Source organism: Homo sapiens, chromosome 16, assembly GCF_000001405.40.
Source record: "Homo sapiens chromosome 16, GRCh38.p14 Primary Assembly".
NCBI lineage: Eukaryota > Metazoa > Chordata > Mammalia > Primates > Hominidae > Homo > Homo sapiens.
Genome location: NC_000016.10, coordinates 53,633,466 through 53,651,216, shown reverse-complemented (window position 1 = coordinate 53,651,216; position 17,751 = coordinate 53,633,466). Strand labels below are relative to the sequence as shown.

At 35.7% G+C, this 17,751-nt stretch overlaps 1 protein-coding gene across 29 annotated transcripts in view; it reads left to right on the top strand.

Moving 5' to 3' along the window:
* The window catches only part of RPGRIP1L (RPGRIP1 like), a 105,707-nt gene that overhangs the window by 52,643 nt on the left and 35,313 nt on the right, over nt 1-17,751 (top strand). For 14 of the 29 annotated variants that reach the window (XR_933260.4, XR_007064861.1, NM_001308334.3 and 11 more), the window contains 7 exons: nt 2,102-2,253; nt 5,214-5,592; nt 9,742-9,932; nt 10,101-10,184; nt 12,806-12,907; nt 13,363-13,522; nt 14,705-14,778. Coding sequence is in view for 25 of the 29 variants with exons in the window: in NM_001308334.3 (NP_001295263.1) it covers nt 2,102-2,253; nt 5,214-5,592; nt 9,742-9,932; nt 10,101-10,184; nt 12,806-12,907; nt 13,363-13,522; nt 14,705-14,778 (1,142 nt within the window). In the remaining 4 variants the exon portion in view is untranslated. Of the gene's footprint in view, nt 1-2,101; nt 2,254-4,519; nt 5,176-5,213; nt 5,593-9,741; nt 9,933-10,100; nt 10,185-12,805; nt 12,908-13,362; nt 13,523-14,704; nt 14,779-15,026; nt 16,143-17,751 lie in introns of those variants that run through there. The other 15 variants (XR_007064862.1, XR_007064860.1, NM_001127897.4 and 12 more) reach the window with 4 other exon arrangements.

The window sequence follows — 17,751 nt, the reverse complement described above, 5'->3', positions numbered from 1 at the left end:
GGATGAAGTAAGAATTTCTGGCATGAGCAGCTAGAAGAATAGTGATGCCATTTACTGAGATAGGGAAAACTGGGAAAGGAGCACATCTGATAAAGAAAATCAAGAATTCTGTTTGGACAAGTTAAGACTGACCCGCCTATTAGACATCCAAGTGGTGATGTCAGGCTGGTGGCTGGACACACCAATCTGAAAGTAAGGGATAGAGATATAAAAGTGGGAGTTGTTAGCATATAGAATATATTTTAAGCCATGAGCATAGATAAAATCACATAGAGAGTGAATGTAAATAAAGGAAAGAAGGTAGCCAAGGACCAAGCCTTGGGAAACTCCAAAATTAAGGCTTCAGGAAGAGGAGGAAAAGCCAGCAAAAGAAACTGAGGAGTGGCCAGTGATGTAGGAGGAAAACGAGTCTGTGGTACCCCAGAGACCAAGTGAAGAAAGTATTTGAAGAAGGAAGGAGGGTGACTTAGGGTCTCAGGACGGATTTTATTTTATTAATTGAGTGATTGATTGAGGTAATATATTCACATGACTCAAAAATCAAAAAGACTTCAATGTCTACCTCCCTCCCCTTTTCCTTAGCCACCCTGGGTCCCCTCACCAAAGGCTGCAGATTCTTTCAAAGATTTTTGTTTGTTTGTTTGGGGTGTTTTTTCATTAAGCCAGGGTCTCACTCTGTTGCCCAGGCTGGTCTCGAGCTCCTGGACTCAAGCAGTGCCCACACTTCAGTCTCCCAAAGTGCTGGGATTACAGGCATGAGCCACTACACCCAGCTTGAAAGATCTTTTATGCATATACAAGCAAATATATATTACATTAATATTATTCTTTTAGGACTTATTTTTAAATGATGACTTCTGTCATAGTGTGTCTTGTGCTGCTGTAACAGAATACCTAAGTCCAATATCAAGGTGTTCACATCTGGTAAGGGCCTTCTTGCTGCAACATGGCAGAAGGTTAGAGGGTGGGAGCGAGCAAGAAGGGGTCAATCTCGGCCTGTTATAATGGCACCAATCCTACTCATGAGGGTGGATCCCTCGTGGCCTCATCACCTCTTAAAGGTCCTACTCGTAATACTCTTAACAATGATAATTAAATTTCAGCATGATTCTTGGAGGGTACAAACATTCAAACTATAGCAGGCAGATAGTAAGTCACATTTGTATGCTGATGAGAATGATCCATTAGCAGGGAAAAAATTGATAAAGTAGGAGAGAGTAGGGGTAATATTTGTAATAATCTGGTGTGTTCAGGAAAGTTTATGTATAGAATATTCTCTATTTGACAAATATTAAGTAGCCTTTATATACTAGTCCCTGTAGTAGGAGTATATTGGTGGAAATTATGGCCCTTGCTCTCAAGAAACTTATGGCGTATTAGAGAAATAGGCTGGTAAACAGACGGGCCAAAGAAGTCAGTGCCCTAACAAGGACATACGATGTCCATGAAGGAGGCACAGGGCTCTACTCTCCTGGGAGCCACACAGAAAGTCTTCCCCATGGAAGAGAGATGAAGAGCTGCCTGAGTTGAGAGGAGTACTGAGGGTGTGCAGGGCAAACATCGTGCAAGGGTGTACTGCATGGGACATGTATTTGGCATAGCTATGACATTTTCCCTTATGCTTGTGAGATAGTCTAGAAATGGGAAGGTGCCAAAGATGTCTTGAAACTTGAATTAGAATGTGGAATGTCATATTTATACTTTTGAGGTTTCATATTGTAAATGTCAGACAACATTGAGTGCAACTTGTTTAAAAAAAGTATTATACTATAGCATCAAAAAGAATCTGTGGAGTATTTGATCCAATGTTTAGATTTTTAAAATATATTTCAGAAGGAATGAAATAGTACAAATTGGAATATCTCAAACATAGTTTGATGTAGTTCTTTAATAATATTTAATATACAATGAAACTCATACTTCAGAAGTAACTATTTTCTTCATCTGTTATTTGCCAATCTCACATCATTTGTGCAAGTCATATTATTTTACTCAGCATAAAATGTATAGTTTTAATGCATAATGCCATTGATGTATTTTTACTGCTATCTATTTTAATGTATGAAACTATTTTAACCTTGGGTTATGTACTGATTTGTAGGAACAAAAGGAGACATCCCAAATTTTGGCACAGTGGAATACTGGTTCCGATTAAGAGTTCCCATGGATCAAGCAATTCGACTTTATCGAGAAAGGGCAAAGGCTTTGGGGTATATAACATCAAATTTTAAGGGGCCAGAGCATATGCAGTCGGTAAGCTCATTTGGCTTTAAGACCCTTTTATGACATAGAAATTTTATAATATTTATTTATGTGTCGTGCTTTAAACTAAAATCATTTTCACAGCCATCAAGTGTCTTTTTTTAACTTTTATTTTGAAGTAATCATATACTCACAGGAAGTGGTAAAAATAGTACAAAGAGATCCCCTGTAACCTTAACCCAATTTCTCCTAATTGTAACGTCTTGCATAACTATAGAATAATTTCAAAATCGGGACAATACTATTAATTAGGCTACATACCTTACTCAGATTTCGTCAGTTTTTACATGCACTTTTGTGTGTGTGTGTGTGTGTGTGTGTGTGTGTGCGCGCGCGCGCGCACGCGCGTACGTATATGTGCAATTATTCTTTGCAGTTTTATCACATGTATAGATTCATATAACTACCACCACAACCAAAATACAGAGCTGTTCCATCAACACAAAGAAACTGCCCCGTGCTATTCAGGACACTTTTGAAAAATTAATCATCACAATACTGCTGTCACACATCAAAAGACTTTTGTTAAAAATTTCTACTGTTAAGGAAATAAACAGCCGTTATTGGACTATCAGTTATTGTGCTTCCAAATTATTTCCTCATGTTAAGTTTCTGAACTGCAAAGTAGGATACAAAATTAATATTCTCTTTCTGGGAACTTGGAATTTAAATGCAATTCCTCAGGGTGGCATTTCCCAATGTTTCATGGAGTCTTAATGACCATATTTTCATATTAGTTCCATGATCCAATAAATGCAGAAGGCCTTGAATTGAGCAAGGTTAAATAGGATTCTTTACTTTAGGAGTTCTCATATATAACATGAATCTTTTTTTTTTTTTTTTTTTTTTTTGAGACGGAGTCTTGCTCTGTCACCCAGGCTGGAGTGCAGTGGCGTGATCTCTGCTCACTGCAAGCTCCGCCTCCCGGGTTCATGCATTCTCCTGCCTCAGCCTCCCAAGTAGCTGAGGCTACAGGCACCTGCCACTACAGCCGGCTAAATTTTTGTATTTTTAGTAGAGACGGGGTTTCACTGTGTTAGGCAGGATGGTCTTGATCTCCTGACCTCGTGATCCACCCGCCTCAGCCTCCCAAAGTACTGGGATTACAGGCATGAGCCACCGCAGCCAGTCTATATAACATGAATTTTAGTAGGCAATGTAAAGTATGCACTCACATTGAGTAACAGAGGGATAAGATATAGTAGAAACATTTGGTATGTCTGTTCAAGTCATAATTATCTTACCTCTTTTTTTATTTGGAACTCCTTCACCTCCAATCCATGGAGCTGGGCTCCCAGTGGCCAGGTTTGCGTTAGCAGATCCCATTTTCTTTCACTCCCCACCCTATTATAACTAATGATTTGGGAATACCCACTTGACCCCAGTTGAGCCAATCAGATTCTGCCCTCTGAGATCAGGAGAAAGCAAGACATATCTGGACACGTAAAATTGGGGGCTGTAGGCAGCCATCATCTACCATGTTAAACAGCGAAGGTAACACAATGAGTCTGAAGAAAGAGAGTAATGAACAAACATACAGAAAAAAATGGAGATCAGATGGAGAGGACATTCTGCTGGTTTCTAGGCCACTGCCTTCCGAAGGTCCAGCCATATTTCTACTATGTATTCCGTGAAATATGCCTGTAACCTTAAAGTCCCTTTTTTGTTGTTTTTGCTAAATAGAATTAGTTTCTATGACTTTCAGTTAAAGAAGCGTGACTAATATCACACTGATTCCCAAACTTAAGAAAGAGTGCACCTGCTTCCAGAGACCATCTTTCTGGCCAGTATTCCTTACAACATACTTTGGGAAATGCTGTTATGGGGATGGGAGTTAGAGATAAGGAGACCACATTGTTTGGTTTTGTAGTTTAAAGCTTTTTAGACTCCCAGATTCTGACTTGAATAAGTTGTTTCCTGGTGGAATTTCAGCTCTGGTGTGTAGATTGAAGGGGAGAAGTGGAGGTACTTTTTCAGTCATTCCTCTCAGCCTTCTATTGCTGAGGGCAAACTAGCCCTGGGAAAGCAATATTGTGATTCACGTCTTAGATTTCTCCTCTCCACACACCAGATTTGTCCACTAAGGAGATTATGACAACAGCTTTATTTTTTCCTCCTCCAATAAACTTCTCATGGAGTCAGGGTCCCAGATGCTCAATCCAGATTCAGAAATGCAGAGGGATGCCTTTGTGGAATGTAGAGACTCCAGCACTAAACCAAACAAAGCACAGAAACACTAGCATTTTCTTTGTTCCAGATTACATCAGCCATGGAAGATTTAACAGTCAGCACAATACTTTTCTAAAATATCTGTGTGCCGTCCATCTCCATAATAGTTCCAAAGGAACCGTAGAGTAGTTTCCAACTCTACCTAATAACTCCTTTTGTTCATCTCTCTCCTGAAGTATCCTCCCGGTCCTGGCTCTTTTTCCCTTCAAGGTTTGTCTCTGACTCTGTTCTCATTTTCTCGTAACAGTTAGACTTTGTTATACTGGCTAATTTGGCCTCAGGTATCTGCTTCCTCAAATCCCAACAGTTTCAGGATGAGGGCCAACCCAAATATAACAGAATCATTACTCTGGGTGGGCGGGTGAATGTATTTTAGTTAGGACATTCGTCTATCTACCCATTGCTCACTATAGTCTTTAGTTATCTAACAGAATTGAAGAACATCAGATTAACATTTTTCTTGGTTTTATTTGATTTTAGCACCAATCGCTACATGTATGCTCAGTCTCCAAGGTTTATTGCTAATAACAGGATCATCTATTCATACATGTTCTAGGGAATATTGATTTTCCATTAGAATAAAAGTTTATTTTACTGAGAAATTATGAAGTGAAAATATGCAGCTTTTGTCATTGACAAAATTATCTTATTTGGGGCTTGGCAGCTGCTGTTCATCTTTTAACTGTGTTATTTCCTTAATATAAATATGTATGTTTTTCCAGTTAAGTCAGCAAGCACCCAAAACTGCTCAACTCAGTTCTACAGATTCCACAGATGGCAACTTAAATGAACTTCACATTACAATAAGATGTTGCAACCACCTGCAGTCCCGAGCAAGCCACCTGCAGCCACACCCATATGTTGTGTACAAGTTTTTTGATTTTGCAGACCATGATACAGCTATCATTCCCAGTAGCAATGATCCACAGTTTGATGATCATATGTATTTCCCAGTGCCAATGAATATGGACTTGGATCGATACCTTAAGTCAGAGTCTCTGAGTTTTTATGTTTTTGATGATAGTGATACCCAGGAGAATATTTACATAGGAAAAGTCAATGTGCCTCTGATTTCGTTGGCACATGACAGGTGTATCTCAGGTAAGCCTATGTTTTTGAATCTATAAAATTGTAAAAACAAAACAAAATTATACCTTAGTGTTATGGATATGATTCGTTTATAACTAATCACCCTAACCTCTTCTCAGTCTTTAAACTTTAGGCCTATATTACTATATTTTAAAAATTATTTTCTTACTAGTCGCTCTATGTGCATCTTATCCCAGTATTAAGTTAAAATTAATACTAACTTAATGGAATTAAATACTTAAGGTATTTAATTAAATATTTAATTCAATTAAAATATAGAAAATCTAATATAATTTCATTCTCTCATCTCCTTTTTGCAATTATTATTGTATATATGTATATAGTATGCATCTCTATGTATTATATACCAACAGTACAATGTTATAATCATTGCTTTATAAAATCTTATATTCTTTAAAGAGGTTAAGAGAAGTAAGAGAAGAGAGAAAATATATAATTATAGAAGACTTTGATATTTACGTACATATTTGCATTTTTGATATTCTTTATTTCTTCCTGTAGACTTGAGTTACTGTCTGATATCAGTTTCTTATTCCAATATAGCTCCATTTCCTTCCCCTCCTTTGTGCTGTCACCATATATTTGGTCTTCCTATGTTATGAGCCCAACAATTATTGTTGTATGCAGTTATCTTTTAAATCAGTTAAGAGGAGAAAAGATAAAATGTATATTTATACTGTGTTTTGTAATTACCTATGTAATTACCTTTATTGGTCTCTATTCCTTTGTGTGGATTTGAGTTACCATTTCCTGTCTCTTTCCTTCAGCCTGAAGAACTTCCTATGACATGTCTTGTAAGTTAGGTCTACTGGTAGTGAATTCTCTCAGTCTGGGAGGATTCTGTTATCTGGGAATGTTTTTATTTTGATTTTGTTTTTTGAAGGATGGTCTTGCTGTATATAATATTTTTGGTCAACAGTTTAGTTTTTAACTTTCTGCACTTTGAGTACATCAGACCACTTACTTCTGGCATCCATTGTTTCAGATAAGAAATCAGTTGTTAATTTTATTGTGGTTCTCTCATACTTGATGTTGTTTTCCAGGTTTTTCTATTTGTTTTGGCTTTCAACAGTTCTACTGATGTGTCTAAATGTGGATCCTTTTGCATTTATCCTACTTAGAATTTATTGAGCTTCCTGTGTGTAGTGTAATGTTATGCACCACATTTGGGGAGTTTACTGCCATTATTTTTTCAGTTATTTTTTTCTCCTCTTTTTTTCTTCTCCTTCTTGAACTTCCAGTACATGTACCATATGCTGGTATGTTTGATGGTTTCCCCACAGGTCTCTGAGGCTCTATTCATTTTTGTTCATTTTTCCTCCCATTCTTCAGATTGAATAATCTGTTCTAATCAACCTGCAAGTCCATTAATTCTTTCTTCTACCAGTTCAGATTTCCTACTGAACCCTCTATTGAATTTTTTCATTGCAGTAATTATACTTTTCAACTCCAGAATTAGGGGTCTCGCTATGTTGCCCAGGCTGGACTTCAACTCCTAGGCTCAAGTGATCCTCCTGCCTCAGCCTCCTGAGCAGCTAAAACTACAGGCACATGCTACCGCACCCAAACATTATAATCTCTTACTATATTCCCTATTTGATAAAACATTATCATTATACTTTCCTTTTAATTATTTAAACACACTTTCTTTTAGTTCTTTGAACATATGGATAATAGCTGCTTTGAGATCTTTGCCAAGTCTAACATGTGGTCATCCTTAAAAACTGTCTATTGATGGGTTTTTTTGCTGTGTATGCAGTACATTTTCCTATTTCTTTGCATGTCTCATAAGTATTTTGTAGAAAACTGGACATTTTTGGATAATATATTGTAACGTCATTTCCTAGGTGGTTATTGTTGCTATTTTTGCTTGGTGACTTGCCTGGACTATTTCTGTAGAATCTATTTCCTCTGCTGTGTATAGCCACTGATGTTTCAGCTAAGTTTTGTTTCTTTTTTTCTTTTTGTTTCACTTTTAACCATAGGTCAGCATAGCTTAGTGGTCAGTCAGTGATTGTTCAAAGGTGTGCTTAAACACCTTGAGCCAGTAGGTTTCCACCTTTTGCCTATGGGTCAGTGTGTGGCATGGAGGATGCATTCAAATCAAAGTTCAGTCTACAAGCCTGCCTCAGCTTTTACTTTCCGAATTGACTAGACCTCTCATTCACCCAGGGACAGATAGCTTACCAGGGTCCTCTTTGATTTCTCCTGAGCATTTACACAGTTTTGTGTGTGTGCCCATAGCCTTCCACATCATGAGCTATAAATAGGCTCTTGTCAAGGCCCACTTCTTTTTTTTTTTTTTTTTTAGATGGAGTCTTGCTCTGTCGCCCAGGCTGGAATGCAGTGGTGCCACCTGGGCTCACAGCAACCTCCTCTTCCCACGTTCTAGCAATTCTCCTGCCTCAGCCTCCCAAGTAGCTGGGATTACAGGCACCCGCCACCACACCTGGCTAATTTTTGTATTTTTAGTAGAGACAAGGTTTCACCACCATGTTGGCCAGTTGGCCAGGCTGGTCTCAAACTCCTGACCTCAAGTGATCCACCTGCCTCAGCTCCCAAAGTGCTGGGATTGCAGGGGTAAGCCACCGCACCCAGCCAACGCCCACTTCTGATATCTTATTCCTTGGATTTCCCTTTTAAATTGTTGGCTGGCCTTCTGGTGTTTTGGCTTGCCCCAACCAGTATTGAGACCTCAGGCTGTCTGTGATGTTGACCTTCTCTGATTGTTTGCCATTGAGGTTGCTGTTGTTTTTAACGATGCCTCTGGGCATGAAATTATCTATATTTTGCTCCACATATAGTCAGCACCCTACAACAGAGGCTGCCAGTCCTCTTAGCCTATCCTAGACTGGCAGAAATTCTCCAAAATGGGAGTGGGGGAGAAAGGGTAAGATGAGAGCAGTCCCACAGATTCCTACTGTTCTTACTGAGGTGCAGTTGATTTTCTTGAGTAAATGCTTCTCAATTTATCCAGTATCTTTGATCAATTTCCAGACTCCTTAAATGGTTGTTTCTGACCATTTTGTCCAGTTTTATCATTTTTTTAGAGAAGATTTGCTGAGCTTTTTACTTAGCCATTCTGGAAGTCTTGCTATGCCTATAAAAGTTTATCACCTCATGTTCTACTTATGTCCTTTTATCCTACCCAAAGTCTAGAGTTTGGGAGGTTTTTTTTTTTTCCAGCCAGCCATTAAAAGGAGTATCAACACTTGAGAGCAAAGTAAAGGATACTCTTAAGCAAAAGCTAATGCCTGAAATTTAGGTTTGAGCCGGTGCCTGTAGTCCCAGCTACTCCGGAGGCTGAGTAGGCGGATGGCTTGAGGCCAGGAGTTCAAGGTGGCCAGTGTGCTATGATCGCATCTGTGAATAATCACTGCACTCCAGCCTGGGCAACGTAGTGAGAACCTGTCTATTTAAAAAAAAAAATAAAAAGATATATAGATTTTGTTTAAGTCAGAGATTTTTTTATACCCAAAAATCCAGTGCAACTGTTAAAATTTGAGACTCAATATAACAGATTCAAGTTTCTTTTGTTACTGCTATTTGTTGTAGATGGTCCATTTATTTTATGGGCTTTTTCTGTGCTACTATTAATTTGGAGTGATTTAACAAATCCCAACAAAATATATTTAAAATTATAATAGAATTATATGGTAACATACAGTTTCCTTTAAATGTGTAAATTATTTGAAATTTTAAAGTATTAATATATTTTTCTTTAGAGACAAGCCAAAAGACTTACAAAAACTTTCAAGTCAAAATGGAGGATACTTGAGCCTTCACGAAGGAAGGCTAAGAATTCTGAATAATGTCTGAATTTAATTTCAGTGAATTAAGTTATTTATAAATTAATTGTCTCATCTTTGAATCAGTATTATCTTTGAGGTCTTAACTTCTGAAGGAGATCTACTTGAGAGATGAGCCTGTCATAGATCATTTTGTCTTTATTTTACTCTCTAAGCCATCTGAATTCTGAGTGAAAGCCAAAATTATTTTTAAAGTAGGGGGTACAACCACCTGGCTAGTTCACATGGTAGAGCATGAGTCTCTTAAAGTAGGGAGTAGTTCTTTGTTCTTTAATTCTTACAGTAATAAAACTTCACTCTAGCATTAATTAAAATTATTGTAATTTGACAGGAATATTTGAGTTAACAGACCATCAAAAGCATCCTGCTGGCACCATCCATGTTATATTGAAATGGAAATTTGCTTACCTTCCACCAAGTGGATCAATAACAACTGAAGACTTAGGAAATTTCATTCGCAGCGAAGAGCCAGAAGTTGTTCAAAGACTTCCTCCAGCATCCTCTGTTAGCACACTAGTTTTAGTGAGTATCAGTGACTTTTAATTTTTTTACAAGTATAAAATTTTGAATATAAAGCTTAAGAACTAAGCTGCCACCCCCACCAAAAAAAAATAATAATAATAGCTAAAGTCTTATCTGAAATCTAATGGTCATCATACTCAGTCTGACACATTGGTTGGTTTGTCTTAGGCACCAAGACCTAAACCAAGACAACGTTTAACACCTGTAGATAAGAAGGTATCTTTCGTGGATATCATGCCACATCAGAGTGATGTAAGTAGTAGACACTGAAAATACTGATTTTTTCATAACAAATATTTGAAATAAATTATATAGGCATATTATTCCCTACCTGATTTAAATGGAAACAGGTGAATAAAGTATGTCTTTTCCCATTAAAGTGATTGCTTTGTGTTTCGGCACTATATATAAGTGTTAACTGTTCAAATTTTTTATCTAAACCCTTTTTTGGGCCCTTACCTCTCTCTAGCTTCTGCCCCAATCCTCTGCTCCTATTTTTTTTTTAAGTCTTCAAAAAATTGTCTAAATTCTGTCTCCTTCACTTCACATTGTTTCTTGGACTCACTTCATTCAAGCTTTTATCCTCATAAAACTACTCTTACTAAGGTCACAGCGACTTTCTCTCTGCCATATACAGTAGTCAATTCTCAGTGCCTGTCTTCATCTCCCAGGAGCATTTGACAGTGAAATATGGGCCTCTCTTCTCTTGGCCTCTGGGACACCATGCCTTCCTAGCTTGCCTCCAACTTTACTGTTATACTTCTCATGCTCCTTGATCATATGTTTAAATATCGTCGTGCCTCTGCAGTCAATCCTCAGACGTCTTCTCAATCCATATCTACATTAAGAGACCTTATACAGTCACATGGCTTTAAAAAAGCATCTATACGCTGACACTTTCATATTTATAATCTTTAGTCTAGACCTCACTGCTGAATTTCATATTCATTTTCTTACTACCTATTTAATGTGCAATGAATGTTTAATGGGAATTTAAACTTAACATGTCAGAAACCAAACTCCTGATTATACCAACCCTCTTCCAAAATTTTTGCCTCTTTCACTGTTTCCCATTCTCTGTAAATGACATAATCATTCACTTGATTGCACAGGCATGAAATTTTGGAGGCATCCTCTTGACTCCTCTTTTTTCTCACCCCTACACCCAGGTCATCCACAAAAGGTGTCAGCTGTACTTTAAAAATATATACTGTATTCAGATTTTTACCATTCTCTGTGGTGGACTTTTTAGAAAATATATCTTCTTTGTAATTCACATATAACTTACATAGTAAAGGACATCAATCTTAAGCATAGAGCTCAATGGATTTTTAAATATGTATACACCTGTGTAACTACCACCCACATCAAAATATTCTGTCTCTCCAGAGCTTAAAATAATACCTGGCACATACAGAGCATTTAATATGTATGTGATAAATAATGAATTCAATAATTATAATTCAGTAGATGTTTTATCACTAGTATTTATGGAGTGCTTGTTATGTGCTTTATATACATTGGACTCATTTAATCCTCACAACAACCCTATGTAGTTGATACTAGAATTATTCCCGTTTAAAGATAGGGAAAGTGATGTTTAGAGAGGTTAAGTAACTTGTTCATGGCCCAAGTATTAGAACTGGGATTTGAACACAGTAGCCTGATTCCTAAGTAAATGACCACTAACATTAAAAAGACATAAACATAGAGGTGTTTGTTGCAATGTTAGTCATGATACCTAAAAACTGTGAACTAGTTAAATGTCCAACAATAGTAAAATGGTTCATTAAGCCATGGCACACCCATGAATATAATATTCTATTGTCATTTAAAATTATGTTTTTCTAAGTTTCATATCAGGAGAAAATATTTATGTTATGATATTAAATTTTTTAAATGCAACAGGATATATTGTATTTATAATGCAGTTATTATTGTGTAACCAAAATTTTTATTTCCATCAAAAATTAGTTTTAAAGAAATAGAAATCTAAGAAGTTTAATAGGTATTACCATTGAGTACTAGATTTATATTGATTTATTTTATATTTATCTTTTACATTTCCTATATTGGCCATGTTTACTTTTAAAAATAGTAAAAGTCATAAGCTGTATTTTAAAACTAAACATTCGTTTGTTAACCCAGGAATAATAGCTAACTATAAATTCATATTTGATGAAATAAAAAGATGACATTGATTTTAAGGAATACATACCTATGCTAGCATATGACATTTTTAAAATCACATGAGTAGTTTATAATCATCATAGAAATATTAGAAAATACAAAGAAGAAAAAAAAAACAGTGAAAATAAAAGTTAATGTTCCCAAATCTAAAACTCAGAGATACTGTTTGGATGAATTTCCTTTCATACTTTTTCCCATGGAAATACACACATATGTGTGTTTGCTTGCTTGTTTGTATTTTAATCAAACATAATACAACTATATATATAGTTCTATAAGTAGCTTTTTTACTCAACACTATGTTATGTATTCTCTGTAATGTTAATAAACACAGGTCTACATCATTTTTTTTTCACAGTTACACAGAACTCAGGTATTTGGATATAGCATATTTTATTTAACTAATGCCCTGTTGAACATTTGCATTGCTCTCAGTTTTTTTTTGCTATTGTAAACAGTGCTTCAATGAACTAAACTTGCAGTTCTTAAATTACATATATATTTATATTTTAAAGAATATAAATACCATTTTATTGAAATATACTAAGTAAATTCAGTGTCATATGAGTAACTGTTACATTTGCTGCCAATTTTTAGTAGTTCAATATGTATATGATAGAATGATTTGGGATTTAGTAATAAATAAAAAATGACATACATGCGTGTTTTCACATTAATATAAGGAGACTTCTCCTCCTCCTGAAGATAGGAAGGAAATTTCACCAGAGGTAGAGCATATACCAGAAATAGAAATTAATATGCTGACTGTTCCACATGTTCCCAAGGTATGCATTTGTGTTAAAATTATTTTGGAAGGTTTAATTTGGTTCTTAAATACTTTGTCTTATAAGTTTTGACATGACTCAGGAAGTCATAGCATTTCCCCTATTTTTATATATGACTTCCTTGGAATAGAAAGTCAAAAATATGACAAGGGTAACAGCCATAATTATACTGCTATTGACAGGTAATATATGAATATTTGAATTAAAGTCTTAATGTAAAATTCATTTTGAGATTAATACATTTTTTATTCTTAGTACATATTCAGATTTCCATTTATCTATATATTATCATTTGTACAAATTGAAGTGGTTGTTTTCTGAGTCTCATACATATTACATATCTGTATATTTAAGTCTCAAATTTACATGCTTTATTATTCAACTGTTCCAGCAATAATGCTATAAAATGTGATCTAAGCAATTATAAATATACCAGTGTGCTTTGATTTCTTCAGGTTTCACAAGAAGGCAGTGTAGATGAGGTAAAAGAGAATACTGAGAAAATGCAGCAAGGAAAAGATGATGTGTCTTTACTATCTGAAGGTCAGCTTGCAGAACAAAGCTTGGCATCTTCTGAAGATGAAACAGAAATAACAGAGGACTTGGAACCAGAAGGTGACTTTCTTATTTAAACTAACATTGTTTAGTTAACCCTGTGCTTTGTTTTATCTGTTAGAGTATGCATCATAGAACATCTTCATTTAATGGTAGCGTCTACTTCACGATACCTGTTTCTTGACAGAAATGATAGAATATAGTTCCATCTTCTTAGTTGTAGTTAGGTGGAATTGTTGTATCTCTTCTTATTTCAACTTGGAGCTCCACAATAGAATACAAGTGTTATTGCTGACCATGTTCCCAATTTATGTTTTAAACAGTTTTGTGTTCTCTTTGAGTTCAGTATTATTATTTGCATTAGCGTAGAGGTCTTGACTTTTTAAAAATTGAAATCCAGCCAAAAATGACCACTTACTGTATTTTTTAAAATCTGGTAAAAGCAAACAATCTGTAAGAATAGGAATGGGGAGGGGCAGAAGGGAAGAGATTACAGAGGGACCTGAGGAGATTTTTTGAGGTGATGGACATGTTCACTGTCTTAACTGTGGTGTTGGTTTCACAGTTACACTTACGTCAAAACATCTAATTTTAGCCAGGCATAGTGTTGCACATCTGTGGTCCCAGCTACTTGGGAGGCTGAGAAGGGAAGATTACTTGAGCCCAGGACTTCGAGGCTGCAGTGTGCTATGATGGTGCCTGTGAATAGCCACTGTACCCCAGCCTGGGTAACATAGCAAGACCCTGTCTCTAAAAGTAATTAAAGAGTGTGTGTGTGTGTGTGTGTGTGTGTGTGTGTGTGTGTGTGTGTGTCAAATATTGCAGTTTAATTGTGTGTAGTTTATTGTCTGTCAGTTTTATTTCAACAAAGCAATAAAAATTTTAAAACTTTAAAATAATAAGAATAGCATTGACTTACATAACATTACTGGTCAGACTGTTAAAAAACATCTATTACCCTATGGTTCTCTTTTTAAAATTTTTTTCTTAAATTTCACAATAAGCTGTATTTTTATTGGCATTTCCTTTGCTTCTACCAAAATTAACCTTGAAATTTTTAGTCTTTTTTTTCCCTAAAATGTAATGTGTCTGTAAACAAATTTGCTACTAAAAAAGATCTAGGTATAATTACCATGTTTCTTAAGGTTATCTTATGGTGTGTGCTTGTTTCTCTTTATTTTACAGGGTATAAGTAGAATTGGTTTAACTTGTGTAAATGTTACCCTTTTATTTTTTAAACAGTTGAAGAGGACATGTCAGCTTCTGACAGTGATGACTGTATTATTCCAGGTCCTATCTCCAAGAATATCAAACAGGTCAGTAACTTGATGCCAACTAGAAATGTTCTGAAATAAGGCTGCCTTTCATTCACAGTACATATGTAGTCTTCATATATAAAAATCTTAAGGAAAACTATTTCTGGAAAAACTTTAATGTTTATCATAATCTTAACCAAGTAGTCATCTACTACAAGAAATTTTTATGTATGGTTTCATTATGTAATGGACTATAACATGTAAGTATTATTTTCACAAAGAGTACCTTAAATCTGTACCTCCAATAGCTACTTGCTGAAACTAGCTGACTTCTTGACTCCTTTTCAAGACTAGCATACCAAGATGTGTTGAAGAAGATTTGAACTTTAAAGAATTCAAAATGTGAGATGCTCTTTGAAACTATAATAGTTTGCCTATGTGAATTCATAGACTACTCTTACCTAGATATATCCACTGATAATATGTTACAGTTATTTCATTTCTGCCAAAACAAGTGAAGCCTTCTTAGAAAGCAATTAATCTTGTGCCGGTATACTTTGCTTTTCTTAGAGCACATGGCTGAAAAGTAGTATGTAAATTGAAATTTTGAGAAGAAAATTATATTTTTTAAAATATATATGGGAAGTATACTGTTTACCAGAGCATTTTTTATTGTAAGAGGGAAAAAGTTTTTATAAAGTAAATGTAAGTAGAGTAAAAAGCTCTAGCTTTTTCTATTCATCTATGTTAATTTTTCTTAAGTGATTAATTGTACTTTTGTAGAATTTTTAGTTTATTGATAAGAATTGGAATATTTCTTTTAACTCTTCCTTCACACATTCTTAGTTTAATCTCTCTTTAAAACAAAACCACAGACCAGGCACAGTGCTTCACACCTGAAATCCCAACACTCTGGGAAGCCAAGGCAGGAGGATCATGTGAGCACAGGAGTTCAAGGCTGCAGTGAGCTATGACTGCACCACTGCACTGCAGTCTGGGTGACAGAGTGAGATTCTGTCTCTCAAAAAATAAAGAAATAAAGCAAAACAATAGAACAGAACATTTCAGTTGTTGTCACAGATTCCTCCATGAAATAGAGATACCCATCGTTTCTGTTCTTGATAAATACAAATAGAACATTTTATCTGTCCAAAGTTTTATCATTATTATTATATATTTATTAATTACAATAACAGCATCCAATCTATGAAAACTCCTACTTAGACCTGCAATAGAACCATGTGTATGTTGGCAACGTGGCTAGCATCTCAGTGAAGTTGTACATTGCTCTTAACTAAGGTAGAATAAACTTTAATTTAACAAAGAAGTTTAGCAAAATAAATAACTGTTTCTCTAAATATTCCAATAATTCTAATGTACATATATATTTTTTCTTTCTAATAAACTGGATTTTTTTCTCATTACCTAAGGGAAAATAATTTGTCTTACTTTGCTACAGCCTGATACGGTCTTCACTACCATTCCAAAATTTGATTTCCTATAATGGTTTCAGATGCTATCTCAAATGTGAACATCATTTAAAGCAAGCAGTTCTTCATGCTTCAGCTCCCATGGGCTTTAAAAAATTCTATTTTCAGCAGCAGTCACTGACCAGCATCCTATGTTTCCTTAGTTTGTTTTGTGTTACTATAAAGGTATACCTGAGGCTGGGTAATTTACAAAGAAAAGTGGTTTATTTGGCTCACAGTTCTGCAGGCTGTACAAGAAGCATGGCACTGGCATCTGCATTTGGTGAGGGCCTCAAGCTGCTTCCACTCATGGCATAAGGATAAGGGGAGCTAGAGCATGTGTAGATCACATGGCAAGAGAGGAAGGAGGAGAGAGAGAGGTGAGAGTTGCCAGGTTCTTTATAACAATCAGCTCTCAAGGGAACTAACAGAGTGAGGGCATTAATCTATTCGTGTGGGATTTGCTCCCATGACCCAAACACCTCCCAATAGACTCCACCTCCCCACACTGCCACACTGCGGATTAAATTTTAACATGACCTTGGTGGAGACGAACAAACCATATTCATACCATAGCATATTGTTAACAGGTGAAATTTAATCTTGGTAAATTATATACCAAATTTAGTAAAATGGTATCATCTGAAAGCCTGGGAACAAAACTCAAGAAATCATAATGGCTAATGATGTAATTTGAATGAAGGTGTCCCCTCCAAAATTTATGTTGAAACTTAATCCCCAATGCAACATTATTAAGAAATATGGCCTTCAGGAGTTGATTAAGTCATGAGGACAGAGCTCTCGTGAATGGGATTAGCACCCTTTTGAAAGGGCTTGATATTGAAGAGAAGTTATCTTGCTCTTCTGCCATGTAAGAACACAGCATTCCTCCTCTGAAGAGGATGCAGCAACAAGGCACCATCTTGGAAACAGAGAGCAGCCCTCACTAAACACCAAACCTGCTGACACCTTGATCTTGGACTTCCCAGTCTCCAGAACTCTGAGAAATAAATTTCTATTATTCATAAATTACCCAGTCTGTGATACTTTGTTGTAGCAGCACAAATGGACTAAGACAGTGAAATACAGGATTTTCTATTGATTTTACCAGTTTTTGTGTGTACTACTTTAGCAAATCATTTAATATGAATAATAGAACCTTTCTCTTTAAAGATTGCAAAAGTGGTACAAAGAACTTCTGTATATTCCTTACCTGGATTCATAGATTTTAAGTCTTTACTCTATTTGTTTTATCATTTCTAGTCTCTCTCCTATATATGCATATAGTGCACATACTTAGGTATTTACTTATAAACATACATTCTTTCATACATAATTGTTATGAACCATTTGAGTGTTGCAGAAATCATGCCCCTTTAATTCTAAACACTTCAGAACAATTATATAATATTGTTATCTAATCTACGGTTTTCATTAGAATTTTGCCAGTTGTCCTAGTAATACCATTTATAGCATCTTATTCATATGGTCCAAGATCCAATCCAGATCACACATTGCATTTCGTTTTCATGCCTCTTTAGCCTGCATTAATCTGTAATGCTTC